Source organism: Homo sapiens, chromosome 21 (genome assembly GCF_000001405.40).
Source record: "Homo sapiens chromosome 21, GRCh38.p14 Primary Assembly".
Lineage (NCBI taxonomy): Eukaryota > Metazoa > Chordata > Mammalia > Primates > Hominidae > Homo > Homo sapiens.
In genome coordinates this window covers 32,879,270-32,900,769 of record NC_000021.9, presented here as the reverse complement: position 1 = coordinate 32,900,769, position 21,500 = coordinate 32,879,270, and the positions used below count along the sequence as shown (strand labels likewise).

At 42.6% G+C, this 21,500-nt stretch overlaps 1 long non-coding RNA gene across 1 annotated transcript in view; it reads right to left on the bottom strand.

Moving 5' to 3' along the window:
* Positions 1 to 21,066, bottom strand: part of LOC105377136 (uncharacterized) — a 52,432-nt gene extending 31,366 nt beyond the window's left edge. The window contains exons 1-4 of the long non-coding RNA XR_937669.3: positions 20,296 to 21,066; positions 16,543 to 16,666; positions 14,702 to 14,838; positions 7,001 to 7,192 (exon numbers count right to left, since the gene is read on the bottom strand). This is a non-coding gene — a long non-coding RNA (uncharacterized LOC105377136). The remainder of the gene's footprint in view (positions 1 to 7,000; positions 7,193 to 14,701; positions 14,839 to 16,542; positions 16,667 to 20,295) is intronic.
* Between the last annotated feature and the right edge of the window lie 434 nt (positions 21,067 to 21,500).

Below are 21,500 nucleotides of genomic sequence, written 5' to 3'. Positions count from 1 at the left end.
CCCTCTGTAGGTTGTCCATTACTCTATTGATAGTTTCTTTTGTTGTGCACAATGTCTTTAGTTTGATTACATCTCACTTGCCAATTTTTGTTTTTGTTGCAGTTGTTTTGGGGGTCTTGGCCAAAAATTCTTTGTCAAGGCCGATGTCAAGAAGGGTATTTCCTAGGTTTTCTGGTAGGATTTCTATTGTTTGAGGTCTTACATTTAAATCTTTAATGCACCTTGGGTTAATTTTTGTATGTGGTGATATGTAAGGGTCCAGTTTCAATCTTCCGCATATGGCTAGCCAGCTATCCCAGCAACATCTATTAAATAGGAAGTCCTTTCACCATTGCTTGTTTTTGTTGGCCTTATCGAAGATCAGATGGTTGTAAGTGTGTGGCTTTATTTCTGAGTTTTCTATTTTATTCCATTGGTCTATGTGTCCATTTTGGTGCCAGTATCATGCTGTTCTGGTTACTATAGGCTTATAGTATAGTTTGAAGTCAGGTAGTATGATGCCTCCAGCTTTTTTTTTTTTTTGTGCTTAGGCTTGCTCTGGCTATTCTCAACCCCTTTCTTTACCCCCAAACACTTTAGTGTATGTTTCCCAAGAACATGGCATGGAGAGTCTCTGATCATAGCACAATTAATCAAACTCAGAAAATGTAATGTTAATATAATACCATTATCTAATAGATAGCCCATATTTAATTTTTGCCAATCATCCTAAAAATGTCCTTTGGGACAATTTTCCCCTGACCCAGGCTCCAATCTTGATCACGTATTGCAGCTTGTTGCCATGTCTCTTTAGTCTCTGTTAATCTGGAAAAGTTCCTTAGCCTTTCTTTGTCTTTCAAGTCATAACATTCTTGAAGAGTGCCGGCCAGTGGCTTTGCAGACTATTCCACAATGTGAATTCAAGCTGCTTAATTGTGCATTTGACAGGTGTATTACATAAGCAATGCTGTGCCCTTCTCAGTGCATCATATCAGGAGCCAAATGATGTCAGTTTGTCCCATTGCGAGTGGTGTCAACTTTGATCACTTCCATAGGGTGGGGTCTGCCAAGTTTCTTCACCTGATTACTATAATTCCCTTTGTAATTAATAAATAATCTGTGGAGAAATACTTTCAGAGAATTTAATACCTTGTCCCTCTTCAAACTTTTATCCAATAGTTTTCATGTCCATCAGTGTTTCTTGTCTTCAGCTCCAAGCCTTATTGCAAGTCAGTCTTGGACCGATTCACCTTCCCCAGTGGAAAGTTCTTATGAATTATAGCTGCCACTCACCCCTGGGGGAGGGAGTCACTGCTCCCTTCTAACATTTGATTCTGGTATCTAATGTTAGATGGGTACAGGACCCATCACCTAATCTGCCCTAGTAGAACTAAGTTGGTATGTTTAAGCCAATCTTTGTTTATGGGCACCACAGAAGAAAGGAGACATGAAGGTCTGATACCATTCCTCAGAAGCCACCTTTCTTCCATCACCTGGGACTGCCTGACCTTGACCACCCTCTCTTAGACTCCTCAATATTACCTTGTCAAGAGACAGAAAAGGTTCCTGATCTGGAGGAACTTCTACTTGCGCAGTTCCCACCAGAGCTTTCCACTGTTCTTCAATGACCACAGTGGGCTTCAGTCCTTTTCAGGGAAGGTCCCTGGATCCATGGGGTCTGGCCTCACTCTAAAGCCCTCCACAGTATATTCACTATCTTGATTGGGAATGTTCCTACTCCATATGCACATGCAGTATGTGTGCGATGTCCATGTATTGTGTATGGTCTGGGAGAGGACGGGGAGAAGACACCTTATAACCGAGGACTTAAAGTGAGAATTTAACACAAATAGCTGTTAACTAGTTATAAAATTGTTTAAAAGTTAACTGGAAAGTCACAGATGGAAGTAGCAACTACAAGAAGCAGCACCACCTTAGGGCTGGCAGAAACAAAGGGAAGAGCTATTTTTAAAACATATAATGTAATGACTCTGAGGAACAGAAACTCAGATCTCAGAGGACAGGGCCCTGCCCAACTGCTGATGATGTTTCTGGGCTAACAAGAGGGACCTTGTAGGGCTTAAATTCAGTTCTGTGAGGAAGATGCTCCTGCCAGCTAGTGCTGGTCCTCAAGGTGGGGGAGTGGTACAATGAGGTAGGATCTATAACTGTTGGAAACACCGCTCACTGCATGCAGCTCCTACTGTGTGAAAGAACTGCTGCTGCTGGGGTGAAGAAGCATGCTTGGGTGATGCAGAGAGGGACAGGAAGCAAACAAGAAGGAGCAGGTTCCTTTTTTCTGCTCCAATCTTTTAGCTTCTCTTCAGTACACCCTCTTGGCAGAGCCTAACATGGAGCCTGCAGGGAAAGTGAACATGTGGTTTGTAAAACCTCTGCTCCAATCCAATAGCATAGAGCAGAATTTAGAAGGGTGAGTCTGGAGCTGAAAAACAACAATAAATAGCACATCTTCAAATTTAAAATGATGGTGTCTCTCAAAAGGATATAGCCCATGAGGATTTATAGTGGGTGCCAAATAGCAAGAAAGATGGTCTCTCAGGACAATAGTTTTATTTTCTATATAGTCGTCTTGAAGGGTGGGCTCCCATCTGAATGGAGGACAGAACAGACTTAGATAAGTTGGGTGTGGCCAATTGTTACCCAAGCCTCTGGTTGAGCAGCTTTGGGGAAGAGGAAGGGAGGGAGGTAGATCTGAGGATAGTATGTGTCATATCAAAAGACAATCTGATGGAAACAACCCAAGCATCTATCAACAGATGAATTGATAAAGAAAATGTGGCATATCCATACAACGGAATATTATTCAGACATGGAAAGAAAGAAAGTTCTGTGCATGCTACAACATGTAACATGTTGGAAATATTATATAAAGTGAAATAATCCAGGCACAAAATGACAAATGTTGTATGATTGTATTATTCCACTTGTATGAAATTTTTAGAATAGGCAAGTTTCTAGAGAGAGAAAGTAGGTTAGAAGCTACCAGTGGCTTGGAAGAGGAAGAGTGGGGAGTTATTGGCTAATAGTTACAGGGGATGCCCTCTGCCTTCTGCTCTAGCTCTTCAAACCCTCTTATAAGCATCATTCCCTACATTAAATGCCTTTCCACATTTCAGGGTCCTGCACTCATCCAGTTCCCCTACTTTGAGTGGGAGAGTGACATTTCTCATCTTTTTAGAGTAGTTCATATATTCACAATAACTCACCCTTTATTTTAATTTAATTGCCCTCTTCAGAGCCCCATAGTCTTTCCAAGCACCTCCCTGGCTCAAACATTTGTCTCAGTAACAATGTCATTTGCTGAGCCTCAGTTTCCTCATCTAGAAAACGAGGATGGCTGGGTGCGGTGGCTCATGCCTGTAATCCCAGCACTTTGGGAGGCTGAGGCGGGTGGATCACAAGGTCAGGAGATCGAGACCATCCTGACCAACATGGTGAAACCCCATCTCTACTAAAAATACAAAAAAATTAGCTGGGCGTGGTGGCATGTCCCTGTAATCCAAGCTACTTGGGAGGCTGAGGCAGGAGAATCACTTGATCCAGGGAGTCGGAGGTTGCAGTGAGCCGAGATAGTGCCACTGCACTCCAGCCTGGCGACAGAGCAAGACTCCATCTCAAAAGCAAAGAAAATGAGGATACTGATCCCTGATATGCAAACTTGTCCTGAAGATAAAATGAGTTATTATCCAATGGAAAAGCTGTGTTATAGATGAATGCATAAAATGTTAGATCCATGAAAAGTTGATTAGTAAGCATGACTTCCATGAGTTGACCAGTGAAGAAATGATGGTATTTGCCTATCTTTTAAAAGAAATATGTGTTTATATGTATTGGTATAAATGCTATATATTCATCTATATATTTTTCAAAATGTGTGTGCAGTAATACATATTAAGATTTAGAAATTCTAAATGCAGGCTGAATGCTTAAATGTCAAGTTTAAGTTACAACACAAGGTCTGCAAACTGTGGTCATAATCATTTAAGACATTATGACTCACTCAATATTTATATTTTAGAAGTAATTTATTTTATTGCAACCACCAATAACCAACTGAAAAACTTCTAAAATTCAAGATAAACTTTCTGTGGCCAAGTCCACGCTCTGATCAGCAGCCATTCTCTCATTAACACTTGTGGCCCCGCTGATTTCTGCTCTCATTTGCACTGTGTAAAAGGCCTCTGACAACCTCCTTTCCACCCTGTTCAAACAAACAATAGTCTTTGGAGCAAAGAAGGAGATCTGTAGCAGGTGAAAGTTTAGTTTTAATGATGGAGACACCAAATTGTTTTTAAAGTTGAAATATATAAAAGGCTCCAAACACACTTTAATGTCTCATTTCTCACAATTACCTCATTATAGTTTACCAAATATTTTACTTTGAATCACAGGATCTTTGAAAGAAATTCCAAAACTAACCTTTTGCACATACGTAGCTTATTAGTAACGGAAAAATTACTTTTCTCTCTGATTGTGAATTTTTTTTTCTCTCCAGAACATAAAATAAAGACATAAACTTATAGGGCTTAGAGGTTGTGACCAGTGACATTTTCACATTTTCTTGAGGAAAGAAAATCTAGCTTGAGAGGGTAAAAAAAAAAAAAAAAAAAAAAAAGTGTAAGATTGGTCATTTGTATCTACATGCAGCAAAGGAGCTATTAGGCACTGACAAGCTACTCAGATCAGAACACCCAAGACTGTTGTCGTTTCTCTTCATGCCCTGCAATCATTGAATCAGGTTATTTAATTGGTGTATAAAAAGTCACCTTAACACAATTCATGGTCACCTTTCTCTGAAATCTTCATGACAAAGGATTTGTGAAAACTTTTCTAAACAAACATAATCTCTCCAATGTTCAGCTATATATAGGAAGAAGAAATGTCAACATTGATATACAGAATCCCTTTCCTTGAGGCCTCTTTCCCACTAAAACCCAGAGGTAGCATTAGATAGAAAGACCAGATATGCCCTGGCAAGGATGGTAACAGAGTATATTAGTCAGGGTAAACTACACAAGCTGCAGTAACAAACATCCCCCAAACCTCTGTGGTTTAACACATGACAGGTTTATTTCTGCTTGTACCACAATCCATTTTAGATTGAAAATTTCCCTCCCAAGCAGTAACTCAGGATCCCAGACTCCTTTCATCTTGTATAGCACCATTTTTAACACATGGCCTGCAAGGTTGCTGTGAAATAGAAAGAGCCTGTGGAAAGCAGATACTCAATTGTCTAAGTTTGGTCAGGGTGCATATTTCTTTGGCTAGAACTAGTTTTTTTGCCAGATCTAAACACAAGGGATCTGGGAAAGTAGTGAAAACTGTACATAAGAAAGGGTCAGTGAGTCTGCTGGAATAATGAAGTGGTCTTGGTTGGAGGAGGTTCTAAAAACTGGGCTCCTGGATCCCAGAACACAGTAAAATACCAATGAGTTGCACTCACTTCAATAAAACAAATTACTCTTCAATTTGTCTCAACAAATTCTATTCACTTCCAGTGATATGGTTTGGCTGCGTCCCCACCCGAATCTCATCTTGAATTGTAGTTCCCATAATCCCCCCATTTCATGGGAGGGACCCAGTGGGAGGTAATTGAATCATGGTGGCGGTTACCCTCATGCTGCTATTTTTGTGATAGTAAATGAGTTCTCACAAGATCTGATGGTTTTATAAGAGGCTTTTCCCCCTTTTGCTCAGCACTTATCCTTCCTGCTAGCATGTGAAGAAGGATGTGTTTGCTTCCCCTTCCACCATGATTGTAAGGTTCCTGAGGCCTCCCCAGCCATTCAGAACTGTGAGTTAATTAAACCTCTTTCTTTTATAAATTACCTAATCTCAGGCAGTTCTTTATAGCAGCATGAGAATGAACTAATACACCCGGTTATTCTTACGTGTCCCTCATTTTACATGATTAGACATGCATTTGATTTTGTAAGTATTCTCTAGAATTTAGCAAAGTCCAATGCATTATCAAATACAATTTAAAAACCAACAAGTTGGCTTGATCTAAGTGCTCCTTGAGGATGAGGGCTGAGTTTTACTCCTTTTGATGGGACCAGAAGGTAGGATATGGCACTCAATGTTTGTCAAACAAGTTAATTAATGAGCAATGTTGCTGACATTTAAATCTCAATTTTTGAAAATCTGTATCTATCCTAGGCTGTCCCCTGGAACCACTTTCCAATTTTCCATCCTAACTGCTTTCATAGTTCTAGCCTAAAGGCTGCCTCCTGTGGATATGTGGTAGAACAGTGATGAGTCACATGACTAAATATCTCCTCCTACAAATGACCCCTCCCCACCATCACCAACAGTTTCCAACCAGATGAAGGTGGACTTATGTGTTGATTACTGATCCATGAAAGGAATTCCTGACCACACAATGAATTAACCTCCTCCCCCCAATTAATACTTAGTAAGCCATGAGTATGGGAACCTGATTTATCTTTTTCCAATGATACTAACTTTAGACTTCATTTTCTTATTTAATCCTCATGCTGACACCAAGGAGAGGTAATTTTGCAGATGAGGAAAATGAGGCACATAGATGTTAAGTAACTTGCACAAGGTCATACAGCCAGGACATGCAAGAACCAGAATTTGAACTCTACAGTAATTCTATATGGGCCAGGGGTGGTGGCTAACATTTGTAATCCCAGCACTTTGGGAGGCTGAAGCGGGCGGATCACTTGAGCTCAGGAGTTCGAGACCAGTCTGGGCGACACGGTGAAACCCCATCTCTACTAAAAATAGAAAAATTATCTGGGCGTGATGGTGTGTGCCTGTAAGTCCCAGCTACTTGGGAGGCTGAGGCAGGAGAATCACTTGAACCTCAGAGTTAGAGGTTGCAGTGAGCTGAGCTCACACCACTGTATGCCAGCCTAGGCAACAGAGCAAGACTTCGTCTCAAAATATATACATACGATTTTACAAGGCCAAGAGGGATAGGGTGTAATTCAAATTTAGTTGGGTCAAGCATCAATTTTAAGAAGGTCCTTACCTGAAAGAGGTGGGCCAAGATCTGATTTCTAGAGTTCTGAGGAGAAACAGCTTTTGCCAAGTAAAGCACATTTTCAGTCACGGAGCCTGGAGAAAGGACTAGCAGCATCCAGGTGGGGAGCAGATTCATCCACCTGCCATCAGGGATCCAGGGCTGTGCTCCAGAGTCACCGTTTTCCTAAAGACCTCGAGGCTGTCATAGAGGAAAAGCAGGAAGTTAGGTCTAAGGGGGGTTCTGCTCATGCTCAGAACAGCAGCCCTTTGCTATGGTGTTCTCAGTCCTCCTCTCTGGCCAGGAAGGAGCTTCTAGGTAGTCTTCTAGGCTGGGATTTCCTGGTCCTCCAGACACAGGAGTGCTAACAGAAGCCAGGCTGACAGTACAAGAGAGGAAACGAAAATGCAAAACACTCACCCCTAGCTCCCTAAAGAAAAAAAAATGGGCCAGGCAGGGTGACTGTAATCCCAGCACTTTGAGAGGCTGAGGCAGGAGGATTGCTTGAGGCCAAGAGTTCAAGACTAGCCTAGGCAACATAGTGAGATCCCATCTCTACAAAAAATTTAAAAATTAGTCAGGTGTGATAGCGTAAACCTGTAGTTCCAGTTACTCAGGAGGCTGAGGTGAGAGGATCATTTGAGCCCCAGGAGTTTGAGGCTGCAGTGAGCGAGGATTGCACCACTGCACTCCAGCCTGGGTGACAGAACGAGACCCATGAAAGGAAGAAAAGAGAAAAGGAAGAAAAAAAGGGGGAGACAGAAAGAGAGGGAGAGAGACAGAGAGAGACAGAAAGAGAGAGACAGAGAGAAATAAAGAAGGAAGAAAAGGAAGGAAGAGAGAAGGAAGGAAGAGAAAGTAAGAAAGAAAGAAAGAAAAAAGAAAGAAAGAAAGGAGAAAGAAAAAAGAAAAGAAAGAAAGAGGAAAAGAAAGGAAAGAAAGAAGAAAGAAAAAGGAAGAAAGAAGGAAGGAGGGAAGAAAGGAAGTTAGGAAGGAAGGAAGGGAGAGAGAGAGAGACAGGGAGCAAGAAAGAAAGAAAGAGAGAAAGAAAGAAAGAAAGAAAGAAAGAAAGAAAGAAAGAAAGAAAGAAAGAAAAGAAGAAAGGAAAGAGAAAGAAAAAAGAAAGAAGAAAGAAGGAAAGAAAATACAAATAGTATAAAAATTTGAAATTTTTATCCAGGTGAAAATAACATTAAGTCAATTAAAGACAGTGTTCTTTCCAGGAGACGCCTACCACATCAGCATTCAGGTAATTTGTGCTCACCCAGACACACACCAAAACCGTCAGTCCCCCATGCCTGAGACTCACAGCCGTCAAGCATCCAGTAGCAGCAATACGTGGGAGGCAGAACTAATATCTTAGAAGGAAATGCCCATTAGACAGAAAAGAGAGCAACAGTGTCATTCCACCAAGCTAACTGACACCAGAGTTGTACAGCTTTGTAAATTCTTTTTGATTATTTGAGGCTATCTATATCACTGATATGCTTTAATGCAAAGTCTTCTGATTTTTCATTGAGAAAAACAAAACTTCTCGGGCTATGGAAAAATCTGTGGCTTGGTTGTCCATGTTTGGCATTAGCCAGCAAAACACTGCTTTTAACTCTGTGGTGCTGGGCCTCTTGTTTTTCCTGCACCCCTTTTTCTTTATCTTTCTTTCCTAGGCATCATTACCATTTGTCAACTTTTCTTTTATGGTTCTCACTTCATGTGCCATGTGGCCTCTGCATGGACAATTCGCGACATGGCAGCCTGCTTCTTCAAGGCCAGCAAGAGCACAAAAGCAAATCTGTTTGTAAGTCGGGTTTCGCACGATGTAACGTAAGCCCAGGAGTGACAGCCCATCATCTTTGTCACATTCTACTATGAAGCAAGTCACAGGGTCTGCCCACACTCAAGGGGAGGGCAGCACACAAGGGTGTGAATACCAGGAGGTGCGGACCGTGGGGCCACCACAGGGTCTGTCCCCCACACCAGGTGACTATGAGGCATCCAAAAAAATGGAACATTCTCCTGTGGATAGATGGTGAGGGACTTTGGCACATCTCTGAGAAAAAAAGTAATTTTTATTATTAGGACAGGGTTTATATTTTGAAATCAAACAAGCCACTTCTAAATGGAAAAGGGGAGCTATTTTTCCATCTGGTAGTCCCTCCAATGCTAGGATGTTTTCTGCAAACACAGCAAGATGTTGACTTGTTTGGGGAAAATTCTGGTCTCTAAAAGTGGGAACAATGGAAGTAGAAGGTGAGGGGGCAGAGCTGCCCCTGTGGGCTTCTCATGAGTGGTCAGAGGAACGGCAGGTCGGGGGCATCCAGAGCTGCATAGTCCAGCACTGGCCACAGCACAGAGCCCCCAAGGCTCAGGCAGGGCTTTCAGCTATTGGGGTAGAACCCTCCCATTTAGGTGATGCCAGGATGAGGTACTATGGAGAGGCCATTTATGGCAAGGCATCCCAAATTCTATGTAATTTCACTTCTGACTAAAGTTTTTTTTTTTTAATTTGTTGAATAGAAAATATTTTCACAGGGAGTTACATACACATAGTGCATATGTATGTGTGTGTATATATATGTATATATGCATGTGTGTAGATAGATAGATAGATAATCATATGTCCTCCCTCCTCTTCCTGATCCCATCTTCTCAATTCTTGTCCTCCCATCACACATATGCTCACAGATAGATAAGCAAGTTTCGTGTTTTTTTTTTTTTTTGAGACAGAGTCTCACTCTGTCACCCAGGCTGGATGGCAGTGGCACGATCTCGGCTCACTGCAAGCTCCACCTCCCTGGTTCACGACATTCTCCTGCCTCAGCCTCCTGAGTAGCTGGGACCACAGGTGTCCGCCACCACAATCGGCTAAATTTTTTTTTTTACAGGGTCTTGCTCTGTCGCCCAGGCTGGAGTGCAGTGGCACAATCACAGCTCACTGCAACATCTGCCTCCCAGGCTCAATCAATCCTCCCACCTCAGCCTCCCGAGTACCTGGGACCACAGGCATGTGCCACCACACCTGGATAATTTTTTGTATCTTTGGTAGAGACGGAGTTTCACCATGTTGCCCAGGCTGGTCTCAAACTCCTGAGCTCAAGTGATTCACCTGCCTCAGCCTCCCAAAGTGCTTGGATTACAGTTGTGAGCCCTGCGCCTGGCCAGCAAGTTTCTTATGTACATTTCAGGGTATGTGTAAGCAAATATATAGACATTATTTTTTCTTAATACAAGAGTTCACTCACATGGTGAACTCACTGTGCGAGTTAAGTACACATGGTACTTGCCTCTGCTTTTTTGCACATTACAACATATCCTAGAGATTATTCCACAGCAGTCCATACAACACTGCTCATTCTTTACTTACAGCCACATGGTCTTCCATTGTGGAGATGTACTGATCGATTCAACAGTCCTTTACTAATATTGATGGACAGTTGGGTTATTTGTCAATCTTTCACTCTTATCAGGGCTGTTCCCAGGATTGAGATTGTTGGGCAAAAGGATCTATGAATTTCTGCTTTCATATCTATCGCTCCACTACCCACTGTAGGGGTCGCACAAATTTACATTCTCACCAGCCTTGCATAAGTTTGTCTTGTTTCCCCCCAGCCTATCACCAAATTTATGAATTTTTTTTCAATCTGCTAAAAGAAAAGCCACCGATACCAAAGTTTCTGAAAATCAAGTGTGTCACTGGAATATTGATTTCTTCTTTGGCAGAACTTTTTTTTTGTAGTAAACTACACATAATGTAAAATTTGCCATTTTAACCATTTTAAATGTACAATTCAGTGGCATTAACTGCATTGACATTGTTGGGCAACCATCACCCCCATCCATCTCCAGAACTTTTTCATCTCACAGAACTGAAACTCTGTACTCGTTCAACACTAACTCCCCATTCCTCTTCCCCTAGTCCCTGGTAACCACAATTCTGCCTTCTGTCTCTATGAATTTGACTACTCTACATTCCTCAAATAAGTTGAATCATACAGCATTTGTCATTTTGTGTCTGACTTATTTCATTTAGCATTCTACCCTCAAGATTCATCATGCTGTAGCATGTGCCAAAATTGTAGTCCTTATTTAAGGCTGAATAATATCCCGTTGTATGTACATACCGTATTTTGTTGGATCCATTCATCCATCAATGAACCCTTGGGTTGTTTCCACCTTTGGCTGTTGTGAATAATGCTGCTGTGAACATAGGTGTACAACTATCTTTTTGAGTCCCTGCTCTCAAGAAGGAGGGGCATCTTCCCTCCTTCTCTAGCAGGTATAAAATGAACCTCACCCCATAAGTTGCTATGGAGGAGCCCTGGTCTTTTGTTCTCTTTACCTACCCGGGAGAATTCCATTCCAGGCTGCCTTTTCTCTAAAAGCAAGGTGCACACACACTGCAGTCCACTCCTTGGAACTATTTGGGACCTTAACATCACACTTTTCCAATGGACAGTGCCGGCCATGTGATTTCTTAAATTAAATATCATGCAACTGAAAGCAATCAATGGAAGTCAACAGACAACATCTAGAAGAAGGGGCAGCAATGGTCTTCCTCTCCTTTGTGTAGACCAGAGTGTGACATCCAGTGCTAAGGAATGCATCTGAACGGGGATGTAAAAGGAAAGGAATGTATTCAAAAAAGAGGAGCTGGGATGCTCAGGGGAATAAAATCCTGCGTTACAAGAGACACAGCTGAAAGGGCTGGGATGAAGAATTGAGAGAACAAACATATGACAGTATTTTTTAATATTTGAAACATATGACAGTGTCTGTTAATATTTGAAAGGCTGTCATGAGGAAGGCAGATTTGATATTGATGACCTCAAGAGAAGCAAATGGAGTCACTAGGTATGAGTTCTAAGGAGAGAGATTTGGGGTTTATTATAAAGAAGTGTCCAAAGATGGAATCAGTTTCTTCACAAGGCTGTAGAGTGAGTTTCCTGTTCCTGGAACTATGTAAGTCTTGACTACATAGTTTCTTGACTGGATTGAGAGGGAGGGAAAGCAGGCATTGGTCTTCCTTCATTTTACACATACAAATAGCTGAGGATCTCCTACGTGTTTAAAGGCTGGAGTTGGCTTCTATGTGTTCCCTTTTTCTTTTTTTCCTAAAGGACAATGGTTGCAGTTAGAACCTCTTCCCAAATATACAAGTACCAGAGATCTCGCAGCAATGAGTGACATTTCAAAGAGCTGATTTCATTTCATGGCTTCTTAAAAGGCCCTTCATTGTTGCTGACTTTAGGGTCAGCCCTTTGTTTCTATAAAAAGCCAGATAGTTTGATTTCTATAAAGAGTCAAATATTTTATGCTTTTCCAGCTATTTGAGGGTCTCTGTCACAACTACTCAATTCTTCCATTGTAGCACAAAAGTGGCCACAGCAATACATAAATCAGTGTGACTCTGTTCCAATAAAACTCTATTTGAATTTCACATAATTTTTACATGTCACAAAGTATTTTACTCTTCTGTTTTTTTTTTTCAACCATTCAAAATGTAAATTCTTACCCTGCAGGCCATAAAGAAAAGTAGACAGCAAACCCTAGAAAATCTCATCAAATCTAAGGAACTGTTGCCCAACCAAGATGCAGGAGGGGACAGAGCTTGGCCTCAGGAACACCTGCCTCCAGGGTCTCCAAAGCTATCAAGAACCTCTCTCTGCCTCTTGTCTCTGTGTCTTTCTTCTGTCTAGCTGTAAGCCATCATTTACCTCATGTAGACAACAGTGTCTACACTGTTGTCACATCTTATAGCTATGGCCGTTGAGACTTATGAGCCGACTATCTATGTCCCAGGTATGCACATCTTGGGACAAGGAGGCACTGGTCTAGCTGGGTCAGGAACCAACCACAGGAGCAATCATCTGAGGCTGACAGGTCTGGGAAGGTAAGAACATGGCAGATCCCATGGGAACCCCAAGAATGTGGAGGGCAGTTCCCAGACAGATAAGTGGGAGTTTGGGGTGGACCAAGCAATACTGTCTCCCTTCCATAACTCGCAAAAGAGGATGTGTTTTTGTCCATACACAGGTGTGTGTGTGTGTGTGTGTGTGTGTGTGTGTGTGTGTGTCTGTTGGGTGAGACAAAACATCTACACATTTTTAAAAATTCCCAGGATGTGTTCTAATAAAATATTTAGAACACTTGCTAGCTCAATAACTTTCTATGTTATTTTTAAGGATGTATAGGACCAATTAACAACACCACAGAAAAAGAGGTATCTGAGGCATGCAGGGAAGAGTGGTCACACTAATTATATTTCATTTGCAAATTTTAGCATTCTTCCTTGTTTTGAGCCAGGATTTGATAAGCATCTTTCATAGAAAAACTTTTTACATCACTTGCTGGTTTCCATTTCTGGGCCCAACACTTGCTCCCATTTTGGAGAGAAAATGTTAATGATTCTCCTGCTTTTCTCACAGGGAAGTTGCTGTTCTTTCAGCAGACATTTAATAGCTTCTCAACACAGTCAGAGCCCAGAGGTCACTATGATACCCAAAGGTCTCGTTCTGAGATATCACCACAGGGAGGATGGCTTGGGGACAGCTGGCTGGCTGTCCACCTGTTTCAGTCTGTCTGTTAGTTCCTGGAAAAGTGTGGGGTTTCACAGCCTGATCAGATGAGCAAACCCATATATACCAAACCCTCCATGTATGTAAGACACCCAGGGACACCACATGTCCCTGTGGGCCTGCAGAAGGGCTGAGAGTCTCATGGGCAAGAAGAGAATTGGGACCAAGACAAGGATGCTGCAGACTGTGGGAATCTAGAACCAGGGGCTGTCCCAGGGACCAGAGGCTTTAACAGCAAAAGCCACGAAAAAGCTGATGGTGAACTGTGAGGCAGTTTCCAAATCTGCGAGCATCTTCTTCATCCTTAACAGTAGAAATGGAATGCAGCCCTCATTCCTGGACTGTACCGAATGCAGGAAAAGAGAATGTCGGGGGCTCACAGGGCTCAGCACAGTGGGGTCCCTGTCTATAAAAGTTATCTGCTAGGTATTTTGGTAAAGGGGAAAAACTGAAAGATTAACCAGACCAACCCATGTCAAGACTATTAGGTGCCAGAGGAAGAGACTGAAGATGCATGAGAGGGAGCAAGTTGTGTTTATGGCTGTGTAGTACCCAGGAAGGTGCAACCCACATTTGTGAGGTTGTTGTTGGTGTGCAGGTTCAGGCTCTTGACTTCACGGCACAAAAGAATTTGAGAGCGAGTCCAAAGTGAAAGTAGGTAAAGGAGCTTATTGCAAAGCGAAAGTACACTCCGATAGCTGGGTTAGAGCAGGCTGACAGCGCCCACTGACGCTGAGGGAGCTCCCTTTATAGGAGTCTTACATGATTATTCATGAAGGATGGGAATGGGCATTGTTGTTAAGCATGCCGTGGGAGGTCTCCTGGATGCCCACGCACTACTGCTGTACACGCTAGCACATACATCCCATGTCTCATTAGCATCTGAAATCTCCACCCAGGGGTGTGTTTTTAGCATTAAAATGAGCATGGTTCAGCTTAAGGACATTGGTCGTGGACTTGTGCATCTGTGCGGACTTGGGGATTTTCCCTTTTGCCCCTGCTCCTCTCTGCTCCAGGATGTCCTAACCAAGAGCCTCAGATGCAGTTTGTGCACTGTCGGGTGGTTTGGTCTCTCCATAAGTTTGACAACTTTCCTGTTTCCTTTCAAGGAAGGCTGTGATCACCCTCTCCAACCTACCTCAAGGTGAGCACCATTTGTCTTCTGGGTGTCCTTCTTTCCCTCTTTTGGTATCTCCTCCCTCTTTTGGCATCCTCATCTATTCAGCAAACATCAATAGAGGACATCATATGTGCCGAAGACTCTCTCAGGGGTGTCTGGGGGTGGGTAGAAAGTACAAGATGATTAAAAAATGATGAGTTCATGTCCTTTGTAGGGACATGGATGGAGCTGGAAACCATCATTCTCAGCAAACTCTCGCAGGGATAAAAAACCAAACACTGCATGTTCTCACTCATAGGTGGGAATTGAACAATGAGAACACTTGGACACAGGAAGGGGAACATTACACACCGGGGCCTGTTGTGGGATGGCAGGAGTGGGGAGGGATAGCATTAGGAGATATACCTAATGTAAATGAAGAGTTAATGGGTGCAGCACACCAACATGACACATGTATACATATGTAACAAACCTGCATGTTGTGCACATGTACCCTAGAACTTAAAGTATAATAAAAATATATATATAAAAAAAGAAAGTACAAGATGATTAAAGGGAAGCTTATGGTGTATGCAGATAATCACACATATGAACCAATAATCAGGATACAATAGGTACTAAAAGAAGGGAAGCCTATCGGGGTGGGCTTCAGAGAGGAGGTGACATTTGCTAGAGGTCCTTAGGGTTGAATAATCTTTGCCAGGTGCAGGAAATGAAAGGCTGCTTTAGGAAGAGGGAGTAGGGTATTGAGTTCTGGGAGAATGGAGAGTTGGTGAGTAATTCAGTGAGATCAGACCTGGGGGTACCTGCAAGATGGTGACCTGAGGTGATGTGGAAGGTTGGATGGGAGTCTGGCTGTCCAGGGTGCTTGGCACATATTAGATGTTCAGTTAATGTTTACTCGAAGGTGAGAGAAAGAAGAATAATAGCAAGCATACAATATTGAACGTGATAATGACAGTACACATAATAGCTGTTTACTGATGGCCTACCCATTCTTTTTACTGTTTACAAAGTATTGGGAAAGAAAAAAATGACAGAATTTCAGCTACTTATTACTTTGCACTTCATGGCATTTCTCTACCTCTCTATCCACCACCCATCCATCCATCCTGTCTATCATCAGCCATCTATCTATCTACCTAGGAAAGAAGCAACACAAGAGGAAAAGACAGGAAAAGAGAACTCTGGACCCCTCTGATCTCGAGTCCCTCTGTGACAAGGTGATGGGAGCTAAGACGGCATGGCGAGACCATCTGCCCTGCCTGTCCCAGCATCTGCTCTGGAGAGTGGTCGATCTGAAGCTGGCGCAGGCCCCTATGGGATGCCAAGAGCAGCATCTTAGGGGGGCATTTTCCTCCCAGGGGTGTGCGCAATGCCATTCATGAAAGCCTTCATGCAGGGGAAGGGCACGACCTCTGACAGAGCTGCCAGAGCTCGTCAGCTCTGAGCCTTGACCCTTGGGTGAAGAGGGCATCGAGTTACCTGGCAAAGCGCAGCTCCTTTTTCAGAACAAGGGCTGAGTTAAAAGTACATATGTTAACATGGAGAACCTTAAAGATTTTCAGGGATGAGCAACAGCAGTAAGCATCTCTATTGATTTCCTGAGATGATCTTTTCACCTGTTCAAAGGGTCAGGTCACTGCCCAGGGCACCATCATCTGGCAGATCAGTGGAAGGGAGCGCTTTTGACAATGCATGGAACGGCGTGCAACAGATCCTGCATGTTGTAGAAACTCTATCTCTGGAGTAACTAGAGAGTTTATGAGGATGCAGCACTAGGGAGGGGTATATCCACTTCCATGTGTCGCTGGAAGGTGACATCATGCATGAGAGTGAAGCCCAAGGACGCCTCCTACCTGCCAAGCCTGTGCTGTCAGCTGCTGTCCTGGGAAGCCCAGCAGGTACTTATGCCACCGGCATTGACCTCGTGAAAGCCTTTTTTGGAGCCTAACAAAACTGCCTCGAGAGCTCGTTTATGAGCTGTAAAAGAAAATTTGTCTCATTGTAGTCATGTCTCAGTTTAGACTCAAAATGATATAGCTCAAATGGATTGCTATCTTATTCCCCAGACTGGGCTCAACAAGATGCATAGCTGACTTCTGTTAAATTCTTCTACATGCCCGGCACTGCACTTTGCATCATTTGATGCTTTCAAGAACACTGAGAAGTATAAATGATTACTATCTTCATTTTGCAGATGAGGAAACTGAGAATAAATTTGCAACAACTGATTACAGTCAAAAGAACCTGCTGCTGATTCTGAAGAGACATCAGAAGTAATGATACCCATCAGCTTTAAGTGAATTTATTGGCAGCTCATTGAAATAAGCATATTAAAAACATCTCAAGTTGACCTGTTTGAAAGGGATAGTGCCCGCTGTAAACTCTGACTTGCACGTGGCAGGTGCATATAAATGCACTAAATGTGGCCAGTCTGAGTTTAATGATGGAATATTACGATGGTAAAGAGAGTGTCAGCATCAGCAGCTCATTCTGTCCCCCAGTCATTCATTGTTTTTTGAAAGAATTCTTTAGAGATGGAATCTTGCTTTGTTGCCCAGACTGGTCTCAAACCCCTGGCCTCAAGTGATCCTCCTGCCTTGGCCACCCAAAGGCATGAACCACTGTGTCCAACCCATGTTCACCTTTGATGGGCTCCTGAGCTCTCAGTATTGCAATGTTGTTGATTTTTTAAATTATTTTTTTCTTTTTCAAAGTGAGGAAGTCAGTTTCCATCGTCATAGGAATAAGAAGCATAAACTTGCCAACAGAACATAATGAGAAGGAACTGGATTTGAAGTGTGGCCCTCAATTCCTAGCAGTGTGTGGGTGTTTGTCATGTTTTCTAGCTTCCTGGCTCCTTTTGAACACCTCTCTTATTATGGCTTGGGGGTTTCTTTCTTCCTAAAGTAGAGGCCAGATCCTCAATTCCCAGCCTCCTTGTTGGCTATGGAACAGGTACGTGGCTGGGGCTGGGCTCATGGGTGCACCCGTGTAATAATCTTGTTTGGAGGAAACAGGTACTGCAGAGAACCCACTCTCTGGCAAAGATGGTGGTTGTGGAGGCATCTGGTTTTGGGGGCAGCAGTGACAAAAGTCCTGGAGTTCAGTGTCTGCCATAATAAGCACCAAGTCTGTGCCCAGTGGGCCAGTGGTAGGTCTGTGTTTGGCTGTATGATTGGGTTTCTGGCTACAAGGCCTGTCTTCCAGGCCTCCTAAAGGCTCTGAATTACCTAAGGAACCATTTGATGGGTAGCCTTGCTCCCGAGGTTAGCTGGGGTGGGTTCTTCTGTTTGCTGCTAAGAACCCCAAGGCAGGCAAATAGCCAACCAGTAAAATCTGCAATTGTCAGAGGTGTTTGAAACAGATTGGATCCATCTTGAATAGGGGCTGGGTAAAATGAGGCTGAGACCTTCTGGGCTGCATTCCCAGGAGGTCAGGCATTCTAAGTCACAGGATGACATAGGAGGTCAGCACAAGAGGCAGGTCACAAAGACCTTGCTGATAAAACAGATTGTGGTAAATAAGTCAGACAAAAGCCACCAAAACCAAGATAGCGACGAAAGTGACCTCTGGTTTTCCTCCGTGCTCATTATACGCTAATTATAGTACATTAGCATGCTAAAAGACACTCCCTCCGGTGCCATGACAGTTTACAAATGCCATGGCAACATCAGAAAGTTACCCTATATGGTCTAAGAAGGGGAGGAACCCTCAGTTCCAGGAATTGCCCACCCATTTTCTGGAAAACTCATGAATAATCCACCCCTCGTTCAGCGTATAATCAAGAAATAACCATAAAAATGGCCAACCAGGAGCCCTCGGGACTGCTCTGCTTATAGAGTAGCCATTCTTTATTCCTTTACTTTCTTAATAAACTTGCTTTCACTTTACTCTATCGATTTGTCTCAAATTCTGTTTTGTGCAAGATCCAGGAACCCTCTCTTGGGGTCTGGATTGGGACCCCTTTTTGGTAACACAATGATAATCTTTGAAAAACGTCAATGATGTGAAAATTACTGCATTTTCTTTGAAGCAATTTGAAAGAACATTTGTTCTTATTAGTAATAATTAGTAATAATTGCCATCAATTTCTGAGCAATTACTAAGTGCCAGACACAGTGCAAAGTGCTTCATATCTACCATCCCATGAAATCTTACAACTCTATAGGGTGCATGTGATCAGCCCCATGTTACAGCTGAGAAACTGAGCCTTAGAAAAGTTAAGTGACTTGTCCAAAGCCACACGTGTAACCAAAAGTGGAGTGCGACTTGAGCCAGGTTTATCTGAAGCTGAAGCTCAAGTTCTTGACTACTGGGCTCCAGTCATGTGCAACTGTCAACCAAAAATGGAGCTTTGAGAGGCCAAAGATGTCACACACCTTCAAACTGCACATCACACAAGTCTTCATAAGCCTCCAGTGCCGCTGTTACTGTGCCTCTCTACAGTCAGGACCCAACCACTTATTTTTGCCTCTCCTTTTACTCCCAACATTCATCTTCTTACTCCGAATCTGGCCCGACCTCTAAGTTGCCCTTGTTGGACCAAACATTTTTCCTATTTGTTAAATATCCATTTGCAATTCTATGTCCTAATTCATATTTCAATGTTACCCTCTTTTCCTATTTATAAAATTCCAATTTCCATATCGCCACTGTCCTTTTTGACCTTACAGGAATTAGATATCCTTGACTCTTTACACGGGAGAACACCCCTTTTCTCCTAGAAACTCCATAGTTCCTACTGGACCATGGCAAACCCCCAACCCCCATTAGCTCAGTGGAACAAGAAAGGTAGGGGAGTCATCTAAATTCTGAATACTTGTAACTGTGGCCAATACATCATGAATAACCAGAACAAAGCTCTTAAAATATTCATATTTCTTTTCATTCCAAAATCATGAATATACCTTTATTCCTTACTAACGATGTATTTTAAAAGTAATTCTTTTACTACTTCTCTGTTCAAATGCTCCAAGTTTGGTGTAAAAAAAAAAGTCACATATTATTTATACTCTTTGGAACATCCTCAAATGGATTTTTTTTTGCTGGGGAAGAAAAATAATACTGATGTTAAGCACCCCTCCCACCAAGAATACGTTCATCAAGGTTGTGAAGCCCTTCACAGCATAAGAACACACCCGTGGCAGGTATCTGAAGTCTTAATCCCCTAACTTTGCACATGTTTTTAAAGCAGGTGACAAACAAATATTCACCCTTGGTGCTATTAGGTCCTTAGGCTACAGTCAATGGGGCATTGTTGAGACCAGATCTTCTCTTCCATTAATTCATGGTGTTATGTATTGCTGTGGTGTATCCTTTAGAAAACACACAGCCTCTCTGGTGTTTTGCTTTGTTCTGTTTTGTTTTGTTTTGTTTAAGGCAGGCTGGATTAAATGATTTAAGGTCATTTTTGATTCTAAGACTCTGTTTCTCTGATCGCTCTTCTCTCCCTGCCGTCTGTGGGGCGTTGTACTTGCAAAAGCCTTCCAGACAAGTTCTCTGGCTGAGACATAAATGCAATTATTGGGGGCTAGGGGGAGGCCATTTAACAGGTTATGATGGATTCTGTTCTGCCTGTTTCAGCAAAGCTGGCACCCAGTACTTACCCCCCTCCACTGCGGCATTTATCTACACGGTGAAAATCTTGCTCTGAGAAGCAATGTTGAATCCCACAGATGCTTGTCCCTGGGACTCATCAGGGGACAAAGACAGAGCCACACAGCCCTCATTAATCCACGTGGAAATAAAAAAGATTAAGCAGCATAGACCCTGTGACCACTGAGAAAATGACAGAAATAAAGATCATTATGTGCATCTGGTTTTCCAGGGGAAAGAAACGGAGATAAAGCCTTAAGTCTTTAATAAGGCTAGAAATTAAAACTGGGATTAACAACAACACGAAGCATTTATAAGAAGCCGTCCATGACATTCCTGCTTAGGTTTTGCTGGCCTGGTTTCTGGAACATTTTTTATATTGTTAATATTTATCACCAGCTTTTTCTTTAGTTGAAAAAAAAGTCACTGCCCACTGGTTTCAGGTTCACAGCCTTCTCTCTAGACATACTAGACCTGCTTCAAGACGATACTTGTTTAAAACCAATTATTCAGCACCATTTTCATGAGGTTTCTGTAGAGATAGGGGAGTATGTATTGCTTAATTTCAATGAAGTTTTGAGGTCTGGCTTTGCTCTGTGATACACAGAGGAAACAGCTTCCCAGGAGAGCTGTCCATGCACCACGCATCTTAGGCCTGGGAGGGGCAGGAGGGGAGGATGGACTATCCCCACATTTAGACACCCCAGATTCTCCTACCAGAGATGCAGTGGACATCGGCGCCTATCCAGGAGGCTGTGTTAAAATGTAACTGTGCCATTTGGTTGAACTATGTGCCGCCCACCCCACCAAAAAACACACTGGAATCTTAACCCCTGGGACCTCAGAATGTGATCTTATTTTTGAATAGGGTCTTTATAGACCTCATCAAGTTAAAATGGGCTCATTAGTGTGGGCCCTAACCTTATATGACTGGTGTCCTTATAACAAAGGAAAATTTGGACACAGAGACAAACATGCACAGAGAGAAGGTGATGTGAAGACACAGAAAGAAACTATGCTTCTTGCATTCAATATAATGTTTTTCAAATTAATTCATGATGTTGCTTGTATTAGTAGTATGTTGCTTTTGATTGGTGAGCAGTAATCCATTGTAAAAATATGCCAGTTTGCTTATCAGTTCTCTTGTGTTTTCAGTGTGGGGTTATTAAGAATAAAGCTACCATGGACATTCTTGGACACATCTTTTTATGGGCAT